The 25,543-nt window shown below is 38.0% G+C and overlaps 1 protein-coding gene across 3 annotated transcripts in view; it reads left to right on the top strand.

Annotated features, from left to right (window-relative positions):
• ATP6V1A (ATPase H+ transporting V1 subunit A) overlaps window positions 1-25,103 on the top strand; it is a 65,022-nt gene extending 39,919 nt beyond the window's left edge. For all 3 annotated transcript variants that reach the window (XM_047448306.1, NM_001690.4, XM_047448305.1), the window contains 9 exons: window positions 1,760-1,922; window positions 2,779-2,887; window positions 7,919-8,041; window positions 8,137-8,251; window positions 8,923-8,986; window positions 11,290-11,493; window positions 16,630-16,724; window positions 18,401-18,572; window positions 22,382-25,103. In XM_047448306.1, coding sequence (XP_047304262.1) covers window positions 1,760-1,922; window positions 2,779-2,887; window positions 7,919-8,041; window positions 8,137-8,251; window positions 8,923-8,986; window positions 11,290-11,493; window positions 16,630-16,724; window positions 18,401-18,572; window positions 22,382-22,474 — 1,138 coding nt within the window. In that variant the 3' untranslated portion in view covers window positions 22,475-25,103. The remainder of the gene's footprint in view (window positions 1-1,759; window positions 1,923-2,778; window positions 2,888-7,918; window positions 8,042-8,136; window positions 8,252-8,922; window positions 8,987-11,289; window positions 11,494-16,629; window positions 16,725-18,400; window positions 18,573-22,381) is intronic.

Below are 25,543 nucleotides of genomic sequence, written 5' to 3' on the forward strand. Positions count from 1 at the left end.
ATTTTTGGTAGAGACCGGGTTTGACTATGTTGCCTAGGCTGATCTCAAACTTCTGAGCTCAAGTGATCCACCTGCCTTGGCCTCCCAAAGTACTAGGATTACAGGCGTGAGCCATTGCACCCGGCCACCATGTTTCTTAAGTTATTCTAGACTGGGAACCAAGACAGAAGCCCCACCCAAATAACTGGGATAACATTTGGAAGAGGGAAAGAAAATAGTACAGAATGTGCTTCTAAGTGCTGTAGTGTACTCATAGCTCTGCAGAAACAAGGCTTTAATCTGATTTTTGGTGAAGGAAATCTCTGTAGTCATCACGGGATCCAGGGGATCAGTTTAGTCCCAAACTCCATGCCTGGGATAAATCAAACTGAGAAGCAAGCAACATGAATACCTAACTTTAAGTTTGATGCTGGATCTACTTCTAGATTTAAAATTATTAAATAATTCAGATGACAAAGCAGGGGGAAAATGCCCTGTTTCATGGCAAAGAAGTAAATACTCCAATATCTGTAGCTTTCAACTGATGTCTATTTTTGGCTTAAGCCTCTCTGTAACCAATTATATAATTTTACGGTAAACTGATTTTGTGATGTACAAAGTTCAAATGATTCAAGTATAAATTATTACCAAGCAATTTATTATGTCACTCAATAAACCAAAAGCATGCACAGGAATAGATCTCCCAGCATAAAGGATGTATTTAATTTATTTGCATGTGTAACTTTTTAAAAATAAAGAATTGTGGTATAATTTTAAAAAAATAGTAGATTTATGTCACCATAAATTGATGATTTCTATTAAAAGTAATGGCAAAAACCGATATCATTATTTTTGCACTGACCTAAATAAAATCAACTGGGCTTTCTCTGCTGCCCAGCAATCTTTCTTAATTTGTTGTCTGCTCTTTCCATTTTCTACGACTGCTTAAAAAGCGTAAACCGTCTCCTATCTCTCTCTCTTTCTCTCTCTGTCTCTCGCTTTTTAAGAGATAGGTTATCATTCTGTGACCCAGGCTGGAATGCAATGGCTAGATCATAGTTCACTGTAACCTCAAACTCCAGGACTCCAGTTATCCTCCTGCCCCAGCCTTCTGAATAGCTAGGCCATGGGCATGCACCACCATGCCCTTCTAATTTCTAAATATTTTTATAGAGACAGGGTCTTGCTCTTTTGCCCAGGCTGGTCTTGGGCTCAGGCGGTCCTCCCACCTCAGTCTCCCAAAGCATTGGGATTACAGGCATAAGCGTCTGTGCCTAGCCTTATTTTATCTTATTCTTTTCATATATCCCTCTTCTCCAGTTTATTGAATATATTTCATAGTGCTTTTTCTTTCTTTAACTTGTGTTTTTGTGTTCCTTACCTACTTTATTTTTATTTTTATTTATTTTTATTTTTTTTGAGATGGAGTTTTTTGCTCGTCACCCAGGCTGTAGTGCAAAGGCGCGATCTCGGCTCATTGCAACCTCCACCTCTCAGGTTCAAGCAATTCTCCTGTCCCAGCCTCCAGAGTAGCTGGGATTACAGGCACCCACCACATGCCCGGCTAATTTTTCTTTTTTTTTTTGTAATTTTAGTAGAGGTGGGGTTTCACCATGTTGGCCAGTCTGGTCTCGAACTCCTCACTTCAGATGATCCACCCGCTTCGGCCCCCACAAGTGCTGCTGGGATTACAGGCGTGAGCCACCGCGCCCGGCCCCTACTTTATTTATTAATATCTATTAGCAAGTCAAGTAATCCATACTTTGTTTTCTTTGTTTAGGTGTGTCCAGGGAGGAACTACTGCTATCCCTGGAGCCTTTGGCTGTGGAAAGACAGTGATATCACAGTCTCTATCCAAGTATTCTAACAGTGATGTAATCATCTATGTAGGATGTGGTGAAAGAGGAAATGAGATGTCTGAAGTCCTCCGGGACTTCCCAGAGGTCTGTATAAAGCTTCAAATAATATCCTAGAGAAAATACCACTCATCAGTGTTCATTGACAATTAATAAAGCTTTGTGTTGGGTCTGGAGCAATGCTGTCATTCGTCAAGGATCTTTAAGGAATTTTAAAATTATATTTGTAATTAATCTGTATATTCAAGAAAAGGAATTTTAATTTTTTGTGTGTGTGTGATGGAGTTTCACTCTTTTTGCCCAGGCTGGAGTGCAGTGACACCATCTCAGCTCACTGCAACCTCCACCTCCCAGGTTCAAGCGATTCTCCTTCCTCAGCCTCCTGAGTAGCTGGGATTACAGGTGCATGCCACCACGCCCAGCTGATTTTGTATTTTTAGTAGAGACGGGGTTTCCACCATGTTGGCCAGGCTGGTTTTGAACTCCTGACCTCCAATAATCGACCCACTTCAGCCTCCCAAATTGCTGGGATTATAGGCATGAGCCACCGTGCCTGGCCAGGAATTTTAATTCTTAAGCCAAACACTTGAAAGTTTCTTTTTATGGTCTGGTGGTTTTTACTTATTGAGAGAAAGATGAAATAAAGAAATAAAACATTTATAGATGTGAACTTTATGTGTGATTTATGATCTAGATTATTATAGTAGTATTTCTTTTTTCATAAAATATTTATTTTATTTATGAAATTGAAATAATGTCTATCTTCTTCATAGCACCGTGGAGCAGAGAAGAGAGGTTGGAGTGGTGGGGAATATTACTTTAGGAACACTGATTGTAAGAGGCATTAAATATGGGCAAAAGTTTAAAAAAAAAAAGAAAAATAGGGAGGGCTAAAATGTTACCTTAGAAATTGGAGATTCACTAATATATATTTTACCTCTAGCTCACAATGGAGGTTGATGGTAAGGTAGAGTCAATTATGAAGAGGACAGCTTTGGTAGCCAATACCTCCAATATGCCTGTTGCTGCTAGAGAAGCCTCTATTTATACTGGTGAGTATATAATTGGAATAAAAGCAGTTAACATCTGTTCTTAAGTGTAAAGCTAGCACCAAACTTTTCTAAAGAGCTTTTTACTTTCATTCTAAAATATCTCTGTACATATAAGCACATTCCTAGCTTTTAAAAAATATTTTACTTGGCCGGGAATGGTGACTCACGCCTGTGGTCCCAGTACTTTGGGAGGCCCAGGCCGGCAGATCACTTGAGGTCAGGAGTTCGAGACCAGCCTGGCCAACATGGTGAAACCCTGTCTCTACTAAAAATACAAAAAATTGGCTGGGCGTGGTGGCAGCCACCTTTAATCCCAGCTACTCGGGAGGCTGAGACAGGAGAATTGCTTGAATCCGGGAGGCTGAGACAGGAGAATTGCTTGAATCCGGGAGGCAGAGGTTGCAGCGAGCCGAGATCGCGCCACTGCACTCCAGCCTGAGCGACAGAGCAAGACTCTGTCTCAAAAAAAAAAAAAAAAAAAAAAAAATTTACTTACTATGTCTTCAGAATAAGTGAATGTAAGACATTTATAGAGCTGTCTCAATCTTTTTAATGACTGTAAAATGATCTTATACTACCTTTTTTCACTACATGTTTTATCATTGATCTAGTTTTAAATATACTTGTACCTTTGTAACTTGAATTATCAGCTTTGAATTAATATATTTTGTCTGGGGATATAAAAGATAAGACAATTCATGTGTTAATGACCTTTCATCTTTGGTTCCGTTTCCATCCCAGCTTTTATTTCTACATTTTCAGGATTTATAAAACTTACATTCTATTCTGTAGCCATAAAGCCAATATTTGAATTAGCTGTAGACCTACATTAAAATGGAGTTAATGCTCACCAACAGTCCCTTGGCTATAATTTCTCCATTTCTTGATTGGCTAAGATTTGACTTTTGGAAGTTTCTTCAAGAAGACTTATGGCAACTGTGTTCTCTGAATTCTTGTTTCTTCATAAATTTATTTTTTTTCTACTGCCTTTAAACTTTAATAGTAGTTTGGCTGAGTATAAAATTCTTGATCAATATTTCTTTCTGTGAGAACTAGTATTAAATGCTGGGGACATTAAAAGCTGAAGCTGGCCTCTTTTTTTCCTTTTGTAGGTGATTTTTCTCTTTTCCCAAAGGACTTTCTCTTTAAATTTGAAGTCTCTTAACTTTATTAAGATATATTCCAATATTGATAGTTTCATTAAATTTTTCTGGATACATAATGTGCCCTTTTCATCTATGAAATATGTCTTTTATTTTGGAAAAATTTAGAAAATTGCATCTGAAACTTTTTCATTATGGCTGTCTTCTTCAAATATACCAACTAGACATGTTAGGTTTTTGTTATCTATTTTCCATGTGCATCATTTCCTCTCTACTCCTTTTTATTTAGCCTTGTGTCTGTTCACAGGATAAATGGTATTTATTCTTTGTGTTGCTTCTAATGAAACCTTCACTTCTATTTCTTTTTGTTCTTTCAGCTCATCAAGTATCTCTTCTTATCTTACTCCATATGCCTTGAGATTTTATTTTGTAGTAGGCTGCATTATTAGGGTTTTTTTTTTTTTTTAACTGTGGTCACAGTTTTCATTTATTCTTTGACAAGTTATTTGACCATCATTGTATTCTTCTCTTCTGTCTTTTTCCTTATTTTATTTTTGTTTAGATATCCTGTACTGATATTTATTATTACTATTACTCATCTTTGTAGGAGATGAGAGGGCTGGCTGTGACTGTGTACCAGGGTAGCAGGAATTCTTCATGGTAACTTGTGAAGTTTATTATGGCATGCAGCTGTGTAAAAAAGCTATTTTACTCTTCTTGCCTGATACCAGAAATCAGCAGCTGTAAGACCATTCACAGTGAATTCTCCTCTGTCTCACCCACTTTTCATTTAGTGAAAATAGGGAGTACCTACTTGTGTTTTATTCATCCCTATCTTCCTGCTTCTCTTTGATGCCAAACTGAGTACAAGGAACTCCTTCCTGCGACTGGCCATGTAGCTTTTTGCAGTGTTCCAAACAAAGCACTCTTGCTTTGTTTGGAAACAAACAAGGCACTTGAAGATGTGCCTTCAAGTTTGCAGAAGCTTTATCTGAGATGCATGGCCTCAGATGAATTCTTGGCATTTTTCCATACCCTTATTTGGTTTTCACCTTATTTAGGTGACTTTTTAAATTATATTGTTGTGGGACTATGTCTCCTAGTTTTTAATGACTAAATTTGTATTTCTGTATTTCTTGTTCTCCTTGTTTGGAGGTAAGTTTTATGAGGAAGAGACAGTGACATATTCATCTACCATTTTAAGAAAGCTACCTTATTCTTTTAAATGGCTGCACAGTATCCCTTTGTATGGATATATCATAATCAATTTAACTGGCATCTTTTTGGTGGACTATTGGATTCTTTATCGTCGTTTACGATAGGCAGCACTAAAACATCCTTAAACATATATTTTTACACTATTCTTTGTATGTTTTGCATGCATGTTTCTTTGCATGTTTTTTTTTTCCTTAGAGACAGGGTCTTGCTCTATCACCCAGGCTGAAGTGCAGTGGCATGTTCATGGCTCACTGCAGCTTTGACCTCCTGGTCTCAAGGGATCCTCTCATCTCAGCCTCCCAAGTAGCTGAGGCTACAGACATGAGCCACCATGCCTGGCTAATTTTTTTATTTTCTGTAGAGATGGGGGTCTCACTATGTTGCCCAGGATGGGCAACTTCTAGCCTCAAGAGATCCTCCTGCCTTGGCCTCCCAAAGTCCTGGGATTATAGGCATGAACCACCATGCTTGGCCTCTTTGTACATTTCTTAGGGTAATTTCTTAGAAGCAAAATTCCTGCCAATACAGCTGCTAATTATTATTTTACATTCTGATAGCCCTTCAAAAGGGCTAACTGTGGACAAGAGTTTCTGCTTCTCAACATCTTCACCAATGCTAGTTTTTTCAACACGTTCTTATGATAATTATCAAAGATACGGAAAAGTTGAAAGAATGTTACAGTGAATACCATGTACCCAGCACTTAGATTTGACAATTGAAATTTTAACTATTCTTGCTTTATTAGATACCTGTTCAATCTGTATTTAACAATGAACTAGCATCTTTCTTGTGTGTATGAACCATTTAAAAACTGCCTTGTGTTCATTTTCCTTTTGGATGATAGTTGTTTTTCATACTGATTTCTAGAAACTCTTTTTGGTTTTTTGTTGTTTTTTTTTGTTTGTTTGTTGGTTTTGAGACAAAGTCTCACTCAGTCACCCAGGCTGGAATGCAGTGGTGCGATCTTGGCTCACTGCAGCCTCTGCCTCCTGGATTCAAGCAGTTCTACAACCTCAGCCTCCCGAGTAGCTGGGATTACAGGCATGCACCACCACCACACCTGGCTAATTTTTGTATTTTTAGTAGAGATGGGGTTTCACCATGTTGGCCAGGCTGGTCTCGAACTCCTGACCTCGGGGGATCTGCCCACCTTGGCCTCCCAAAGTGCTGGGATTACAGGCTTGAGCCACCGCGCCTGGCCAGAAACTCTTTGATTAATGAATAAATTCGTCCTTTATCTGTCATGAGTTGCAAATATGTCCCAGCTTGTTTATCTCTTGATTTTGTCTGAGGCATATTTTTCTTGTAGGCACTGATACCTGTAGGTCTGTCAGAGAATTCTCACTTACTCATATGTATCTGTCTTTTCTGCCATTTCTTTCTAATATCACAAGTATCTGTGACATTTCATCACAGATTTAAAACACAGCATGCTTGTATAAGAAAGAATCTGTTCTTATTAGATTGGAATATGTGGTAATTATTGTGTTGTTGAAGCCTTAATATTGATAAGTAATGTTTCCTAAAGACTTTCTTCATGAGACCATTTTATGGATGCCTGAACAGTCAGTATTTTTTATTCTGAAAGATGCAATATGATAAATAGGAAAGTACTGAATTTTCCACTAATTATGTTAATTTTACTTATATAAACCTCTGTTTCTTTACCAGTAAAATAAAAAAACCAAGGCATTATAAAAGTTCCAAAATCTTTTGGAACTTTTATAATATAACTATATATTTTTCCTAATATCTTAGTGTTTCATAGCGCTTTGTACTTTTTAGATGACATTTATTTAATTCACTTCATCTGCCATATATACAAGTATATAGGGCAGGCGTTATTCCATTTTTAATAGGTTAGGAAGCCACACTGGGAAATCAAGTTATTTTGCTAAGGTTAATGACAGAATAGGAACTAGAACCCAACACTCGTTTCTGTATATTAGCTGCTTATAAGTGGTTTACTGTCTAAATTTACAGGATAGGACCTGATCTGCATAGCAGAATAATCTGGACAATTAAGATATTACTCATTTTAATAACATTTGCTACTTTTGAAAAGTAACCACCCAAGCTGATTGGTTAAGGGTTACTTTTGCATGCATACATGTTTGTGTGTGTGTATGTGATATATAGAGAGAAGCTACATTTGAAAATTAATTTCAGACTTAATTATTTCAACAAAGAATAGAGAAAGTCATTTCCTGCTTTCTAAAATGTGCATTATATTAGGGCCAGCTAGGCTATGGCATCAAATAATTCCAAATATATATTTGCTCAATATAATAGATGTTTATTTCAAGTGTTCAGGGCACTCTTTACTCTGTCATTCTGAGCCATGATCCAGCCTGAAATGAGCTCTACCATTTTCAACACATGGCTTCCAAGACTACTGGGAGTTCTTTCCATTTCAGTAGGCCAGAAGGAAGAAAGAGTATGGAAGAGCGTGTGACTTGCCTGACCGTAGAACACATTATTTTGACTTGAGTTTTGTTAGCCAGAGATCAGTTACATGGCCATATCTAAGTGCACAGGATGCTAGGAAACAATTCAGTGTGTGCCCAGAAAAAGAGGAAGAGCAGCTTTGAGGGAGCCACTAGCAGTCTACGTTGTGTACTTATTGCTTTAAGGTTTTCTTAAGGGTGGAAAAAAACAGGATTTTTATATGCTAGCATTGTAACTTATAATAATATTCTTCCCAATTTAGGAATCACACTGTCAGAGTACTTCCGTGACATGGGCTATCATGTCAGTATGATGGCTGACTCTACCTCTAGATGGGCTGAGGCCCTTAGAGAAATCTCTGGTCGTTTAGCTGAAATGCCTGCAGGTAAGTCTGTGTATTGCTTATCATGTAAACAAGACTGATGGGATTTTCGGGGCTGGCTTAGAAACTCTGTTTTAAAATTTCTTTTCATTTTTCAGATAGTGGATATCCAGCCTATCTTGGTGCCCGTCTGGCCTCGTTTTATGAACGAGCAGGCAGGGTGAAATGTCTTGGAAATCCTGAAAGAGAAGGGAGTGTCAGCATTGTAGGAGCGTAAGCACCCACACTATTTACTTTGCAAAAGGAAAAAAGTCACAGATGTATTAAAGAGAGAAAAAAAGTCACTTATTTTAAAGAGAGAATATTTAGCTCCCGCTGGGAGCAGCGGTTCTTAAGGAGGGTTGCACTCCAGAGTCACCTAAGGAGCTCTTTGAAGATGCACATGTTTAGGCAATTTCTACATGTCCTGGTTCCATAGGTTTGACTTTAATTTATATATTTATATGTTTAATTTAGATATTTATTTAATTTTTATAATTTAGAAAATTATAGACATAATAAGGTGAGATTGCATCACGGTAAAAAGAAAGTGAAGATTCGTGATCACTACATAAAGCCATACTTTTTTCTTAGAGCGTTTCCTCCTTGCTTCATCTATTTGATTAGAATAATAAAATTGATTATAATAAAATATCTATCTCATGTCTCATAATAGAAGGTGTTCTGTAGTTTCTATTGTTGTTTACAACTTAAATACTGGCTTTTGTTTAAGATTTTTAGGTAAGATTTTCTTTCCAAAGGTCATTTCTAAAGTTATTTACATTAAAAAGTTATTTACATTAAAATCGACTTTAAAAAAAGTTAACATTTATATATATGTTATTTTTCATAAGCATTTCTAATGACCATTTTTTTTGTAATGACCATATTTTTTTTAAATTTAGAGTTTCTCCACCTGGTGGTGATTTTTCTGATCCAGTTACATCTGCCACTCTTGGTATCGTTCAGGTATGTCTTTCCCTAGTATAGTCAACTTCTGAGCCTTTCCTCCTCTCTGCAGCCCCTGCTGTTCTAATGCGATCTAATGTAATCGTTGTGAAGTATTTAATTTAGTCTCTAAAGGATAGGCAATGGTAAAGTCTGGTTTAGAAACACTCTTAACACAGAGCCTTTAATACTGTCTGTTTTTTTCTTAGCTGTTTACATAGGATTTATAATAAACTTAATAATATATAAGTGGAAAATATAGGTAGCAAAAATTTTATTAGTATTAGAGTAGTATTATCCTTTAAGTCATAGTAACCCTAGTTATAGAAACAAAGAGGCCCAAAAATGTGTAATACCCAGAAGTTATTTCACTTCACAGTATGATCCAAGGCTCTCTTCTGTTTAGTGATAATTCTGAGTCCAGGATTCTTTCCATCTTGTGACTCCACTGTCACCTAGCCTGGTGATCATCTGCATCTAGCTGACACAAGGGAGCTGGGCCTTGTGGAGAAGGCATACCCACCTTTTTTGAACCTTGGATTCAAAAGTGACACAGTCACTCCACTCATTCTATTAGCCACATCCAGGTGAAAGCAAGGCTGGAAAATGCAGTTTCTGCCTAAGCATTTGCTTTCCAGTGACAAGACATGAATTTTAGTGGATAGGTAGCCAGCTTGGCTATTAAAAGAAGCCCAAATAAAAGATGTGTACAAATCAGAGCTATAGTTAAAAAAAAAAAGTGATATGTGTATATTATTCATGTGGGAAAAACAGAATATTTACTTGTGTTTCTGACAGTATCAGAGAAAAGGAAATGTCAGAGGCTAAATGTACAACTCTCAAGCTTTTTAACGTTTGCTAAAATTTTGAGTTTTAAATTATGGGGAAAGAGGGAACAGAGTTAGAAATGCATGGAATATCTGTGAATGTTTGCCCTTACAAAAATCACTGTCAGTTGTTGTTGGATTGGCCCTGTGAATGATAGGCAACTAAATTTAATCAAAACACTTAGATGTTTTTGTTTTGTTTGTTTTGATACGGAGTTTCACTCTTGTTGCCCAGGCTGGAGTGCAATGGCACAAACTTAGCTCACTGCAACCTCCACCTCCCGGGTTCAAGTGATTCTCCTGCCTCAGCCTCCCAAGTAGGTGGGATTATAGGCACCCGCCACCACACCTGGCTAATTTTTTGTGTTTTTAATAGAGACAATATTTCACTATGTTGGCCAGGCTGGTCTTGAACTCCTGACCTCAGGTGATCCACCCGCCTCAGCCTCCCAAAGTGCAGGGATTACAAGCGTGAGCCACCATGCCTGGCCCAGAACAGTTAAAAAAAAAATTTTTTTTTTTTTGAGATGGAATCTCACCCCCATCATGCAGGCTGGAGTGCAGTGGCGTGATCTCAGCTCACTGCAACCTTCATCTTCCGGGTTCAAGCAATTCTTCCTCCTCAGCCTCCCAAGTAAGCTGGCATTACAGGCATGCGCCACCACCACGCCCGGATAATTTTTGTATTTTAGTACAGACAGGGTTTTGCCATGTTGGCCAGGCTGGTCTCGAACTCCTGACCTCAGGTGATCCACCTGCCTCAGCCTCCCAGAGTGCTAGGATTACAGGCGTGAGCCACCATGCCTGGCCAGTTAGAGGTTTTTAATCAAAGTAAAGTGTGTATTCGATCTACATAAACCTTTTCTGGTTCTATTGTACCATAATAATTTTCAAAAGAGTAAATTAATTTTTCTTTTTGCTTTTGGATTTGGCACAGTATTAAGAAAATAGAGGTAAATTTTAAATTCGATTTGTAGGTATTATGCACTTGGAAAATGAAAGGAAATAGATTATTGTCATTTTCTGCAAGTTTTATTCTGTTTTAATTTTACTTAGTATATACTAAAACGATGTATAATTTGACCAGTGAATTGTAGAATTGCATATTTAGGGGTCAGGCATGGTGGCTCATGCCTGTAATTCCAGCACTTTGGGAGGCCAGGGATCACATGAGGTCAGGAGTTCGAGACAAGCCTAGCCAACATGGTGAAACCCCATCTCTACTAAAAGTACAAAAATTAGCCGGGCCTGATGGCGCATGCTTGTAATCCCAGCTACTGGTGAGGCTGAGTCAGGAGAATTGTTTGAACCCATGAGGTGGAGGTTGTAGTGAGCCGAGATCATGCCACTGCACTCCAGCCTGGGTGACAGAGCAAGCCTCTGTCTCAAAAACAAAAAAAAAAGAATTGCATAGTTGGGACAAACATGCTTCGGTATTTTTTAACTTTGTTTTTTGAGAAAAATTACTGTTTTTGTGTGTGTGTTTTTTTTAATCAGGTGTTCTGGGGCTTAGATAAGAAACTAGCTCAACGTAAGCATTTCCCCTCTGTCAATTGGCTCATCAGCTACAGCAAGTATATGCGTGCCTTGGATGAATACTATGACAAACACTTCACAGAGTTCGTTCCTCTGAGGACGAAAGCTAAGGAAATTCTGCAGGAAGAAGAAGACCTGGCAGAAATTGTACAGCTTGTGGGAAAGGTGAGTTGTTAAATTCCATGGAAGATAGATCTGTGGGTTACACTGGGGTGTTTCAAGGACAGATAGAGCCTTGGATATTACAGATTCTTGCCTAGCAAAATAAATATTTATTAAATATTTTTAATTGAAATTTTCTATTCATTATAGTACTTAGCATGGTTTTTGGGTATATTGTATGTGAGAAAGAAACATTTGATTTACTTTTATCTTGAAATGGAATATACCCATCACCAACCAAATTAGAGGTAGTAGATTTAGGATTTGTTAGCATACATTTTTGTAGGAATGCTAGGGCTAGGTTTCAGAAGGATTGGCTTCTAGTTCCTCCAATAATTAGCTATTGGCCTTAAACAGGTGAGTTACATTCTTGTGCCTGTATCTTGGATTCTTCAAGGAAAGATGGTGTAATTAAATTTAGGCAAATTAAATGCCAGAATGAAAAGACTTCTCAGATAGTATGCAATGCTAGTTAGTACTCAGAGTTCTTTGTCTGGTTTTGTTCTTTTTATTACATGTTACAAAGTCATCTCCTAATTTATTCCAAAAAAGGTTAATATTAGGAGATAGCTAACATTCTAACATGTATTACTACTTACTATTTATAGAATAAAAATATTCTCTTATCTGCCCAATAAGAGAAGCAAGAAACAGGAAGAACTGCAAAACCAGATAAAGACAATACAAGAAAGGAAAACTATAGGCTAATATTGTTGATGAATGTAGGTATGAATGTAGATACTTAATAAAATATTAAATATTAGTGTATGAGGTCTAGTAGGATATTAAAGAAAATAAAATGATACATCATAAGCAAGTTTATCTCAGGAATGTCCATATTAGACACAGAAAATCTATTGTAATTCACTAATGTAATAATACAATGGAAAAAGGATATCTCAGTTAATGTGGAAAAATATTTGAAGTTTATTACAATTTTTAGAAACATCTTAGCAAACAAGGAATAGAACGGAACTTCCTTAATGTGTTAAAAGTAATATACTAAGACCTAGGGAAACCACTTTACTTACTGGAGAAATTTCAGATGCATTTCATTTAAAAACTAGGATTAAGACCAGCATGCCTAATCTCATCACTGTGTTCTGTCAAATACCAGAGATCATAACCAATGATGTAAGAAGAGAAAAAAGAAAAGTTGCAAAGAAAGAGATAACAGTGTCATTGTTTGTAGATAATATGCTCATATACTAGAAATATAACAGAATTAACAGAGAAACAAATAATAAGAGTTCACTGGGGTGTTATGATTCAAGATAAACACAGATCAAGAGAATGTCTCTACACTAGCAGTACCAACTAGAAAATAAAAGTAAAAATAAGATGTTCTCAATAGCAACAAAAACTAGAGTGTAGGAACTAACCAGAAATATATATTTCTTCTATGAAAACCACTTTTAAACTAATAAATGAAACAGAAGATGATATGAAAATAGAAACAGTCCATGCTCTTGGACGGAATGACTTATTAAAAAGACGCCACTTCTCAGCCAGGCGTGGTGGCTCACACTTGTAATCCCAGCACTTTGGGAGGCAGAGGTGGGCAGATCAACGAGGTCAGGAGTTCAAGACCAGCCTGGCCAGCATGGTGAAACCCTGTCACTACTAAAAATACAAAAAATTAGCTGGGCATGGTGGCGCACCCCTGTAATGCCAGCTACTTGAGAGGCTGAGGCAGGAGAACTGCTTGAACCTGGGAGGCGGAGGTTGCAGTGAGCCGAAATCACGCCACTGCACTCTAGCCTGGGTGACAGAGTGAGACTCCATCTCAAAAAAAAAAAAAAAAGACGCAATTTCTCTTTAATCTGTAAATTCAATGTAACGCCAATCTAAAATTCATTTGATTTCACCAAGATTCACAACCTTAAATAAGAATAGTAAAGTGTGAGCTTCTCCCCTATTGGATAAGGGGGAATACAAAACCATAATAATAAAAACAATGTGGTATTGGTAAAATAACAGACCAGCGGACCAGTGGAGCAGAATAGAGATAGACTTGTGATTGTATAAACGATTGATATTGCAAAGATGGTACCGAAAATCAAGGGAGGAGAGGATAGATTGTTTCAGTCTGTGATAGAAAACTGTTTACTATTTGAAGGAAAAAAACAAAATGGATTGTTCTCTAATTCCACATACAAAGTTAGAATCCAGATAGATTCATAATTTACGTGGGAAAGGTAAGACTTTCAGTTTGATAGAAAACAAATATTAAGAAAATATCTTTGTGATCTAGAGTTGGAAAAGGACTTCTAAAATAAACCCCTTAACATTAGCCTTAAAACAAAAAAAAGAGTTTTTTGATTACATAAAAAGTAAGCATTTATGTTTAGCAAAGGCCTACCCTGGTTAAAGGTAACAGACCAGTGACATTGGGAGAGGAAGTTTGTGACATCTAAAACTCATGGACTGGCTGGGCATTGTGACTCATACCTGTAATCCCAGCACTTTAGGAGGCTGAGGTGAGTGGATGGCTTGACTCCAGGAGTTCAAGACCAGCCTGGGCAACATGACGAGACCTTGTCTCTACAAAAAATATAAAAATTAGCTGGGTGTGATGGTGTGGGCCTGTAGTCCCAGCTACTTGGAAAGCTGAGGTGTGATGATCACTTGAGCTCAGGAGGTTGAGACTACAGTGAAAAGAGATCTCGCCACTGCATTCCATCCTGGGTGACAGAGTGAGACCCTATCTCTATTAAAAAATAAGTAAATACATAAATAATAAGATAAAAATGTTTAGAAAAATTTTAATTTTAAAAATACTTTTAAAAAAATTAAAAAAAAAACTGATGGACTAATGTCTAAAATGTACAAAGATCTCCTGTAAGTTAATAAGAAGACTCGAACTTCAACAGAAGTGTGGCCAAGGGAAAGAACAGACTGATAATAGAAAAGGAATCTCAAAAGACTAATAGACCTGTGGAGAATTGCTCAAACAACACTGAGAACATCACATTATACTAGTTAAAATGTCAAATATTGCCCAGTGTTGTGGGGACAGAGGAGCTGGTGGGTGGATTGTCTGGTGCTGCCATTGTGAGCAGTCTGATAGGACTTGTTTACATACCCTGGAACCTAGCAATTCTGTTTCTGGATATTTATCCCCAAAGAAATTCTCAAGCAGGTCCTTAAGTGGATGTTTGTGATGGTGGGGAATTGGAAGAAATCTGAATGTCCTCTACTGTGAGCAAAAGATGGAAGGTAAAATAGGGAGGGTGCACACCACAGAGGATGAAATACATGAGAGCTGGAAGCAGCAGACCATGTTGCACAGCAGCATGGGTGGATCAAAACAAAGTACCAAACCAAAGACACAAGTAAGAAGTTTTACATAATTAAAGACACTTGCACAAAATAAAATATATATTTTACATGAATTTATACAAATAATACACATAAAACATTGTTTAATATTTACCTGTGGTTGAAGAGAGGACTAGAGATAAAAGGGATTTACAAAAAAAAAAAAAACAAAACTGGAGACCTGATCCATAATGCAAGAATGTAGTTAACTCATTGGGCTTGTCCATTTTCCACTCCCAAGAAATCTTTACCTGTTAGTGATCCTGGCAACACTAATACTATCTCTCAAAGCTGCTAGGGCAATTGTAGAATTTAGGGCTTTTGAGGTAGTGATATTTAAAGGGTGAAGCTCTGTAACTTAGCTATACTAGTAAAATAGCACTCAGACATAGAGTAGTACATACTTACTGTACTTCATAGTTCTAAATATTTTGTAATGTTTTTAAAATTCAACTATTTATGAGCTATATAGATTTTTATGAAACAAGACTGAGAATTCAAATAATTAAGATAGCAAGCCAAGATGTGAAGAGGTATTTCAAGAAAAGAACATCAAGCTTATTTTTAATTAATTAATTTATTTATTTGAGGGAGTCTCACACTGTCGCCAGGCTGGAGTGCAGTGGCGCGATCTTGGCTCACTGCAACCTCTGCCTCCCAAGTTCAAGTGATTCTCCTGCCTCAGCCCCCCGAGTAGCTGGGACTACAGGCGCCCTACCACACCTAGCTAATTTTTGTATTTTTAGTAGAGACGGGGTTTCCCCATGTTGTCCAAAATGGTCTCAATCTCTTGACCTCATGATCTGCCCACCTTGGCCTCCCAAAGTGCTGGGATTATAGGTGCGAGCCACAGTGCCTGGCCAAGAACGTCAAGCTTTTTGCCACCGATGTTTGTTTGGGATTTTTTTTTGTGAGATAAGGTCTCGCTCTGTCACCCAGGCTGGAGTGCAGTGGCACGATCTTAGCTCACTGCAACCTCCATCTGCCTCCCAGGCTCAAGCAATCTTCCCACCCCAGCCTCCCAAGTAGCTGGGTCTAGAGGCGCATGCCACCACGCCTGGGTAATTTTTGTATTTTTTGTAGAGACAGGTTTTCACCATGTTGCCCAAGCTGGTCTCTCACTCCTGAGCTCAAGCAGTCCTCCTGCCTTGGCCTCCCAAAGTGCTGGGATTACAGGTGTAAGCCACTGTACCCAGACCCATATTCTTAGCAGCACTGTTCACAATAGCCAGGAAGTGGAAGCAACCCATATGTCCATCTATGGATGAATCCATAAACAAAATGTGGTATATATATATATACAATGAGATATTATTCAGCCTTAAAAAAGAGATCCCATCACATGCCTCAATACAGATAAACTTTGAGGGCATTATGCTAAGTGAAATAAGCTGGTCACAAAAGGACAAACACTGTATGATTTCATTTTTATGTGGTATTTAAAATAGTCAAATTTATAGAAACAGAAAGTAAAATAGTGGTTACCAGGGGCTGGGGGAGGAGAGAAAGGACAGTTACTGTTTAATGGATGTTTCAGACTTGCAAGATGGAAAAGCTCTAGAGATTTGTTTCACAGTAATGTGAGTATACCTAACACTGTTACACTGTATAATTAAAAGTGGCAAAGATGGTAAATTTTATGTTACATGCCTTTTAACCACAGTTTAAAAAGAACATCAATCAAAAAGCCGTTATAAGTAAATTTATTAACAATAGGTGATGGTGGAAACTATATAATAGTTTCTGCTTGTTAATTAATTGCCACCATCAATCTTACATTTTAGAGTAAATGTCTAAAAATATCTTTTTCTCTTCTAGGCTTCTTTGGCAGAAACAGATAAAATCACTCTGGAGGTAGCAAAACTTATCAAAGATGATTTCCTACAACAAAATGGATATACTCCTTATGACAGGTAAGCTATATTGATTTCCTTTTTTTATTTGAGGATTTTCTGTTGTGTTTTGGTGAAGGAGTACACATTAAAAACCCTTTTTTATTCTCATACAGGCTCATACACTCTGACTTAGTAGATTGGTTTATTTGTATATTTGTAGTAGACATGATCTAATATGTCCCCTATCTTGATTTGCTCATTTGTCCAATTATGACAGTATTTTCACTCATATATTCATCTATAATTAGATTTAATTGTGGCTTAGTGCAGAGCCTGGGGATTATTCCCTCCTTCAGAAGCCTTCTTCATTTCTTTCCACTGCCCATGTCTCCTTTACTCTCTTACGTTGTTGTTTTGAGACAGGGTCTCACTCTGTCACCCGAGCTAGAGTGCAGTGGCGCAATCTCAGCTCATTGCAGCCTCAACCTCCTGACAGTTCTCCCACCTCAGCCTCCTGAGTAGCTAGAACTGCAGGTGCCCACCACCATGCCCAGCTAATTTTTTTTTTTTTTTGGCAGAGACTGAGTTTTGCCATGTTGCCCAGGCTGGTCTCCAACTCCTGGGCTCAAGCAGTCCACCCACCTCGGCCTCCCAAAGTGTTGGGACTCAGGCATGAGCCAACACGCCTGTCTTCTTTTACTTTTTTCCTAAATAATTATTACTCTTTTCCTAAATAATTAATAGTTCTGCTTTCATGCCTCATTTCCCAAGAGTCCTATTGCTTGCTTTCTACCAAGGTCTCTGTTAGAGCACTCCAACTCCTACTCAGTGCTTTCTTTTTTTCATTATTATCAATGCTACTACTGAGGCTTGTTTAAAGTTCTCATTTCTTTTAAATTTTGAGAATTTAGCCCTTTCATGCCAGGTTATCTTTTCTCCCTCAAATCATATTTGGCCCCATATAAGACTGAAGAAGGAACTGAGCCAATGGAAGGATTACCAGAATGTAGGGCAAGCAGTAAATATGCCTGTATATCAGTAAGCCCCAGAAATCTGCTCTACTGGGAACTTAACGAAGCTTCTAGGAACCACCTACACAAAGATAACAAGGGAAAAATTCTTTGGAAAAGGTGTAATAGGAGTATCCGTGAAATTATGTATGCAAAGGTGTTTAAACATATCCAAAAGTTGTACGAATGTATGTGACTGAAGTTGAATATTTGTTCACGTGTCTGTTATTTAAAAGTATGGGCAAATGAAAACAAACACATTAAGAAAAAAGGGGCTACTACTAACTTCAGGAACTTGCAGTTTCCTGCTTTCCTATTACTCATTAAACCTAATCCACTATCACAAGGGAGTCTTTACAACTCAGTTATTTTACCATTTGGGTTACTTATTTAACTGCATTGTACAAAAACAAACCCTCAGAGAGTCATTAGATTATAGTAATACTGTTTCATTGTTTCTCCCACTTGATGATGTTAACAGAGAAAAGTAAAATTTACCCTTAAAATAAATACAAGAATATATATCTTCTTCTATCCCATATCCTGAGACATCTCTGTCCAAAAACTCTGGTTAAGTAGTTGTTGGTCTTTTCACTATTATTTTTTTATTCCTTAGGTATCATCTAATAAATAAGCAATCTGCATACTTAGATAAAGAAACTAATGCTCTAGTAGTTTTATATAAAGTATGAACCTGTTTTGGAGTTTATTTTTGTTAATTTTTTGGACCTTCATTTATTCTAGGTTCTGCCCATTCTACAAGACAGTAGGGATGCTGTCCAACATGATTGCATTTTATGATATGGCTCGTAGAGCTGTTGAAACCACTGCCCAGAGTGACAATAAAATCACATGGTCCATTATTCGTGAGCACATGGGAGACATCCTCTATAAACTTTCCTCCATGAAATTCAAGGTATATTTTGTTTCTGCTGTAACTTTTTTTATTTGGAAATGCTTCTTTTTTTCTTTTTTTTTTAGACAGAGTCTCACTCTGTTGCGAGGCTGGAGTGCAGTGGCATGATCTTGTCTCACTGCAACCTCTGCCTCCTGGGTTCAAACGATTCTCCTGCATCAGCCTCCTGAATAGCTGGGACGACAGGTGCGTGCCAGCACGCCCAGCTAATTTTTGGATTTTTTTAGTAGAGATGGGGTTTCACCATGTTGGCCAGGATGGTCTCGATCTCTTCACCTCGTGATCTGCCCGCCTTGGCCTCACAAAGTGCAATGCTTCTTTTTAATTTTTCTAGCTATTTTGAGTCCCAAACCTGGGCTGTAAAACTTGCAGTTATTTTCACACATGTTCAGGTTTTGTAAAATCAGTAGAGACCTCAAAGTTATGTTCAAATAGGAATTCTAATGATAAAAATTAGTATATCAGCCAGGCATAGTGGTTCTCATGCCTGTAATCCCAGCACTTTCAAAGGCTCAGGCAGGAGGATGACTTGAGCCCAGGAGTTCAAGACCAGCCTGGGCAACATGTCGAAATCCCGTCTCTACAAAAAATACAAAAGATTAGCCAGGTGTGGGGCACACACCTGTAGTCTCAGCTATCTGGGAGGCTGAGGTCAAGGCTGCTGCAGTGTGCCATGATCCCACCACTACTCTCCAGCCTGGGCAACACAGTGAGACCCAGTCTCAAAAAACAAAAAAAATTAGTATGTCACGTCTAAAATAAATGCTGATGTGTATTCCCTTTTGTCTTAGTTGCCAGGCAAATTAGAGCTTACTTCATAGCTGAGCAACAGTTGCCTTACTCCAAGTGCCTATTAACCTCTAGCACATGTGTTCTTCTGAAATGACATCTTCTCTGTTTACTTCTTTTAAATATCATGTACTGCAGGTCATTTTTTAACTTTTTTTTTTTTTGAGACAGTCTTGCTCTGTCATCCAGGGTGGAGTACAGTGGCACAATCTCGGCTCACTGCAACCTCCACCTCCTGGGTTCAAGCGATTCTCCTGCCTCAGCCTCCCAAGTAGCTGGGATTACAGGTGCCTGCCACCACGCCCAGCTAATTTTTTGTATTTTTAGTAGAGACGGGGTTTCACCATGTTGTCCAGGCTGGTCTTGAACTCCTGACCTCATGTGATCTACCCGCCTCGGCCTCCCGAAGTGCTGGGATTACAGGCGTGAGCCACCGCATCCAGCCATTTTTTAACTTTTAAGTGGCCTCTTGTTCTTTTGGAAGTACACAAGATAAAAATAGATAATTAAATGAAATTATTAGTAGGAACTCAAATGTATAAGATTGTTTTTAAAATATTTGATCAGTTGAATTGTATTTATTTCTGTCATGACATCCAGGCATATTTACTAACCACCTACTGAGAATGATTCTCTGAGTGTATATGTAATATAAAAATTTTTAAATTATATATATATTTTGTGTGTGTGTTCACACTATAGATTGAAAGTAAACCTGTACAAATAGGTAAGCACTACATTGAGAGTTTAAAAACATTTACACCTTTTTAGTCTTGTCATTTCACCTTGAGATAAATAAACAAAGGAAGTAATCAGAATTTTGATACGGATATACACGGTCGTTTATTAAATTCTTTTTCTTTTTTTTTCTTTTTTTTTTTTTGAGATGGAGTCTTGCTCTGTTGTCCAGGCTGGAGTACAGTGGCACGATCCTGGCCCACTGCAACCTCCCCCTCCCAGGTTCAAGCAGTTCTTCCTGCCTCAGCCTCCCAAGTAGCTGGGATTACAGGTGCATTCACCACACCCAGCTAATTTTTGTATTTTTAGTAGAGACGGGGGTTTCTCTATGTTGGCCAGGCTGGTCTTGAACTCCTGACCTCAGGTGATCTGCCTGCCTCAGCCTCCCAAAGCGCTGGGATTACAGACATGAGCCACTACGCTAAACCAAATTTCTTAAATGTCACCCAAGAATGAACAGAGCCAACAGTACATTATGGTGTGTCCATAAGATAGATATTATGAAGGCATTACCATTTTTGTCAAAAATATTCAAAGACATGGAGAAATGCTTATGGCACAGAGTGAAAAAACTTCCATATGTAACTTGATCCAAATATTGTCTTAAAAAACTATATATTCATAGAAAGAGGATGAAGAAGAAATATACCTGTAGTAATGATGATTTCTATTTACATGCTTATTGTGTCAAATTAACATCACAGGTATTTTTTAATGTCATTACTCTTCTGTAGCATTGTTTTGTGGCTGGAGAGTAATATTTTTCTATTCTTAGACACTTAGAAAATTTCCAGTTGTTGGCCGGGCGCATTGGCTCACGTCTGTAATCCCAGCACTTTGGCAGGCCGAGGCGGGTGGATCACCTGAGGTCAGTTCTAGACCAGCCTGACCAACATGGAGAAACCCCGTCTCTACTAAAAATACAGAATTAGCTGGGCGTGATGGTGCATGCCTGTAATCCCAGCTACTCAGGAGGCTGAGGCAGGAGAATCACTTAAGCCCGGGAGGTGGAGGTTGCGGTGAGCTGAGATCACACCATTGCACTCCAGCCTGGACAACAAGAGCAAAACTCTGTCTGAAAAAAAAAAAAAACAAAGAAAAGAAAAGAAAATTTCCAGTTATTGGTGTGGACAACCATGTAGTTGTGTGTAGTTGGTTTTGTGCATTTTCTTAGTATGGAGTCCCAGAAGTGGAATGATTGGGTTAGAGACCTGGAACATTTTAAAGTCTGTCTCTTTTTTTTTTTTTTTTTTTTTCTGAGACAGAGTGTCACTCTGTCACTAGGCTGGAGTGCAGTGACGCGATCTCAGCTCACTGCAACCTCCGCCTCCTGGGTTCAAGCGAGTCTCCTGCCTCAGCCTCCCAAGTAGCTGGGACTACAGGTGCACGCCACCATGCCCAGCTAATTTTTTTGTATTTTTAGTAGAGACAGGGTTTCACCATGTTGGCCAGGATGGTCTCAATCTCCCGACCTTGTGACTCGCCTGCCTCGGCCCCCCAAAGTGCTGGGATTACAGGCGTGAGCCACCAAGCCTAGCTAAATTATCTTTTATACATATTACTCAGTAAGTTGCCTAAATTTTACTTTTCCATCCCAGTGTGATAATACCAGATGTTGAGCAAATTCTGTTTTGATTAAATTAATTCCTAATTATCATGCATTAAGTCATGTTCATCTAATATATGAAGCGGCATAATTTCCCACTATTGTGCACATTGTTGAGGATAAAGGCTTTGGTCACTGAATGTGGTTATCAGGCAAAATGCAAAATTAAAATTTTGTTTTCTTTCTGTTTGGTTGGATTTGTATCCTTAAGAAAAAGGGAAAATGAGTATAGTTTTACCTCCTGCCTGTGGTTTACCAGTGTCCCTCACTAAACCTAGTACTCAAAATATATAAAATACGAGTAACCTGGGCCAGGTGCAGTGGCTCACGCCTGTAATCCCAGCACTTTGGGAGGCCGAGGCAAGTGGATCACTTGAGATCAGGAGTTCAAGACCAGCCTGGCCAACATGGTGAAACCTGTCTCTACTAAAAATATGAAAAAAAAAATTAGCTGGGCGTGATGGTGGGCGCCTGTAATCCCAACTACTTGGGAGGCTGAGGCAGGAGAATCACTTGAAGCCAGGAGGTGGAGGTTGCAGTGAGCCAAGATCGTGCCACTGCACTCCAGCCTGGGTGACAGAGCAAGACTCTGCCTCCAAAAAAAAAAAAGTAACTTAACATACGTAATGAAAATTATTTTCCAAATGCGAGTTGAATTTGTAATGTCTTCTTTCAGGATCCACTGAAAGATGGTGAGGCAAAGATCAAAAGCGACTATGCACAACTTCTTGAAGACATGCAGAATGCATTCCGTAGCCTTGAAGATTAGAAGCCTTGAAGATTACAACTGTGATTTCCTTTTCCTCAGCAAGCTCCTATGTGTATATTTTCCTGAATTTCTCATCTCAAACCCTTTGCTTCTTTATTGTGCAGCTTTGAGACTAGTGCCTATGTGTGTTATTTGTTTCCCTGTTTTTTTGGTAGGTCTTATATAAAACAAACATTCCTTTGTTCTAGTGTTGTGAAGGGCCTCCCTCTTCCTTTATCTGAAGTGGTGAATATAGTAAATATACATTCTGGTTACACTACTGTAAACTTGTATGTAGGGTGATGACCCTCTTTGTCCTAGGTGTACCCTTTCCTCATCTCTATTAAATTGTAAACAGGACTACTGCATGTACTCTCTTTGCAGTGAATTTGGAATGGAAGGCCAGGTTTCTATAACTTTTGAACAGGTACTTTGTGAAATGACTCAATTTCTATTGTGGTAAGCTCATTGGCAGCTTAGCATTTTGCAAAGGAATTGCTTTGCAGGAAATATTTAATTTTCAAAAACATAATGATTAATGTTCCAATTATGCATCACTTCCCCCAGTATAAATCAGGAATGTTTGTGAGAAACCATTGGGAACTATACTCTTTTTATTTTTATTTTTTATTTTTTTTATTATTTTTTTTTTGGGGACGGAGTGTCCCTCTTGTTGCCCAGGCTGGAGTGCAATGGCGTGATCTTGGCTCACTGCAGCCTTCGCCTCCCGGGTTCAAGTGATTCTCCTGCCTCAGCCTCCCGAGTAGCTGGGATTACAGGCATGCTCCACCATGCCCAGCTAATTTTGTATTTTTAGTAGAAACGGGGTTTCACCATATTGGTCAGGCTGGTCTCGAACTCCAGACCTCAGGTGATCCGCCCACCTCGGCCTCCCAAACTGCTGGGATTACAGGCGTGAGCCACCGCGCCTGGCCAGGGACTATACTCTTTTTAAAATAGACATTTGTGGGGCTCACACAATATATGAAATAGTACCCTCTAAAAAAGAGAAAAAAAAAATCAGGCGGTCAAACTTAGAGCAACATTGTCTTATTAAAGCATAGTTTATTTCACTAGAAAAAATTTAATATCAAGGACTATTACATACTTCATTACTAGGAAGTTCTTTTTAAAATGACACTTAAAACAATCACTGAAAACTTGATCCACATCACACCCTGTTTATTTTCCTTAAACATCTTGGAAGCCTAAGCTTCTGAGAATCATGTGGCAAGTGTGATGGGCAGTAAAATACCAGAGAAGATGTTTAGTAGCAATTAAAGGCTGTTTGCACCTTTAAGGACCAGCTGGGCTGTAGTGATTCCTGGGGCCAGAGTGGCATTATGTTTTTACAAAATAATGACATATGTCACATGTTTGCATGTTTGTTTGCTTGTTGAATTTTTGAACAGCCAGTTGACCAATCATAGAAAGTATTACTTTCTTTCATATGGTTTTTGGTTCACTGGCTTAAGAGGTTTCTCAGAATATCTATGGCCACAGCAGCATACCAGTTTCCATCCTAATAGGAATGAAATTAATTTTGTATCTACTGATAACAGAATCTGGGTCACATGAAAAAAAATCATTTTATCCGTCTTTTAAGTATATGTTTAAAATAATAATTTATGTGTCTGCATATTGCAGAACAGCTCTGAGAGCAACAGTTTCCCATTAACTCTTTCTGACCAATAGTGCTGGCACCGTTGCTTCCTCTTTGGGAAGAGGAAAGGGTGTGTGAACATGGCTAACAATCTTCAAATACCCAAATTGTGATAGCATAAATAAAGTATTTATTTTATGCCTCAGTATATTATTATTTAATTTTTTAGGTAATGCCTATCTCTTGGTCTATTAAGGAAAGAAGCAATCAGTAGAGAATTCAGGATAGTTTTGTTTAAATTCTTGCAGATTACATGTTTTTACAGTGGCCTGCTATTGAGGAAAGGTATTCTTCTATACAACTTGTTTTAACCTTTGAGAACATTGACAGAAATTATGCAATGGTTTGTTGAGATACGGACTTGATGGTGCTGTTTAATCAGTTTGCTTCCAAAGTGGCCTACTCAAGAGGCCCTAAGACTGGTAGAAATTAAAAGGATTTCAAAAACTTTCTATTCCTTTCTTAAACCTACCAGCAAACTAGGATTGTGATAGCAATGAATGGTATGATGAAGAAAGTTTGACCAAATTTGTTTTTTTGTTGTTGTTGTTGTTTTGAATTTGAAATCATTCTTATTCCCTTTAAGAATGTTTATGTATGAGTGTGAAGATGCTAGCGAACCTATGCTCAGATATTCATCGTAAGTCTCCCTTCACCTGTTACAGAGTTTCAGATCGGTCACTGATAGTATGTATTTCTTTAGTAAGAATGTGTTAAAATTACAATGATCTTTTAAAAAGATGATGCAGTTCTGTATTTATTGTGCTGTGTCTGGTCCTAAGTGGAGCCAATTAAACAAGTTTCATATGTATTTTTCCAGTGTTGAATCTCACACACTGTACTTTGAAAATTTCCTTCCATCCTGAATAACGAATAGAAGAGGCCATATATATTGCCTCCTTATCCTTGAGATTTCACTACCTTTATGTTAAAAGTTGTGTATAATTGTTAAAATCTGTGAAAGAATAAAAAGTGGATTTAAATTAACATTTTTTTCTTTTTCTCTTTTTTATGGCACAATCTGCTAGAAAATATGTACCTTGTATCTTGACTTAATGTTTTGGTATGACCTTTTAAAATTTTTTCCTTCCTTTTTTATAGATTGTTACTTAAGATTATGAAATTGAATTGGAGCCCTCATTATAGCCTGCAAAAAGTCCCATAACTGTATCACACTATGTTTTGGAAATATAATCTACAGAATCCCATCCCATTCTGAATTTTACTTTGAGAAAGTGAATGGTTTCTATAAATTCACTTCTAAGTGCAAGGAAATCAGTGGTACTCTTCAGTTTTTAACAAGTAAACTAAAGCCTTGTAATTTATGATTTTGCAAGCCAATTTAAAGTCCAATATAACAATGTGCAACATCCTTTGTAGCAATTCATTATGGTACGTAGGATATATTTTATTTCCTTAAATGTTGT

The sequence above is a fragment of the Homo sapiens genome, chromosome 3 (genome assembly GCF_000001405.40).
Source record: "Homo sapiens chromosome 3, GRCh38.p14 Primary Assembly".
Classification (NCBI taxonomy): Eukaryota; Metazoa; Chordata; class Mammalia; order Primates; family Hominidae; genus Homo; species Homo sapiens.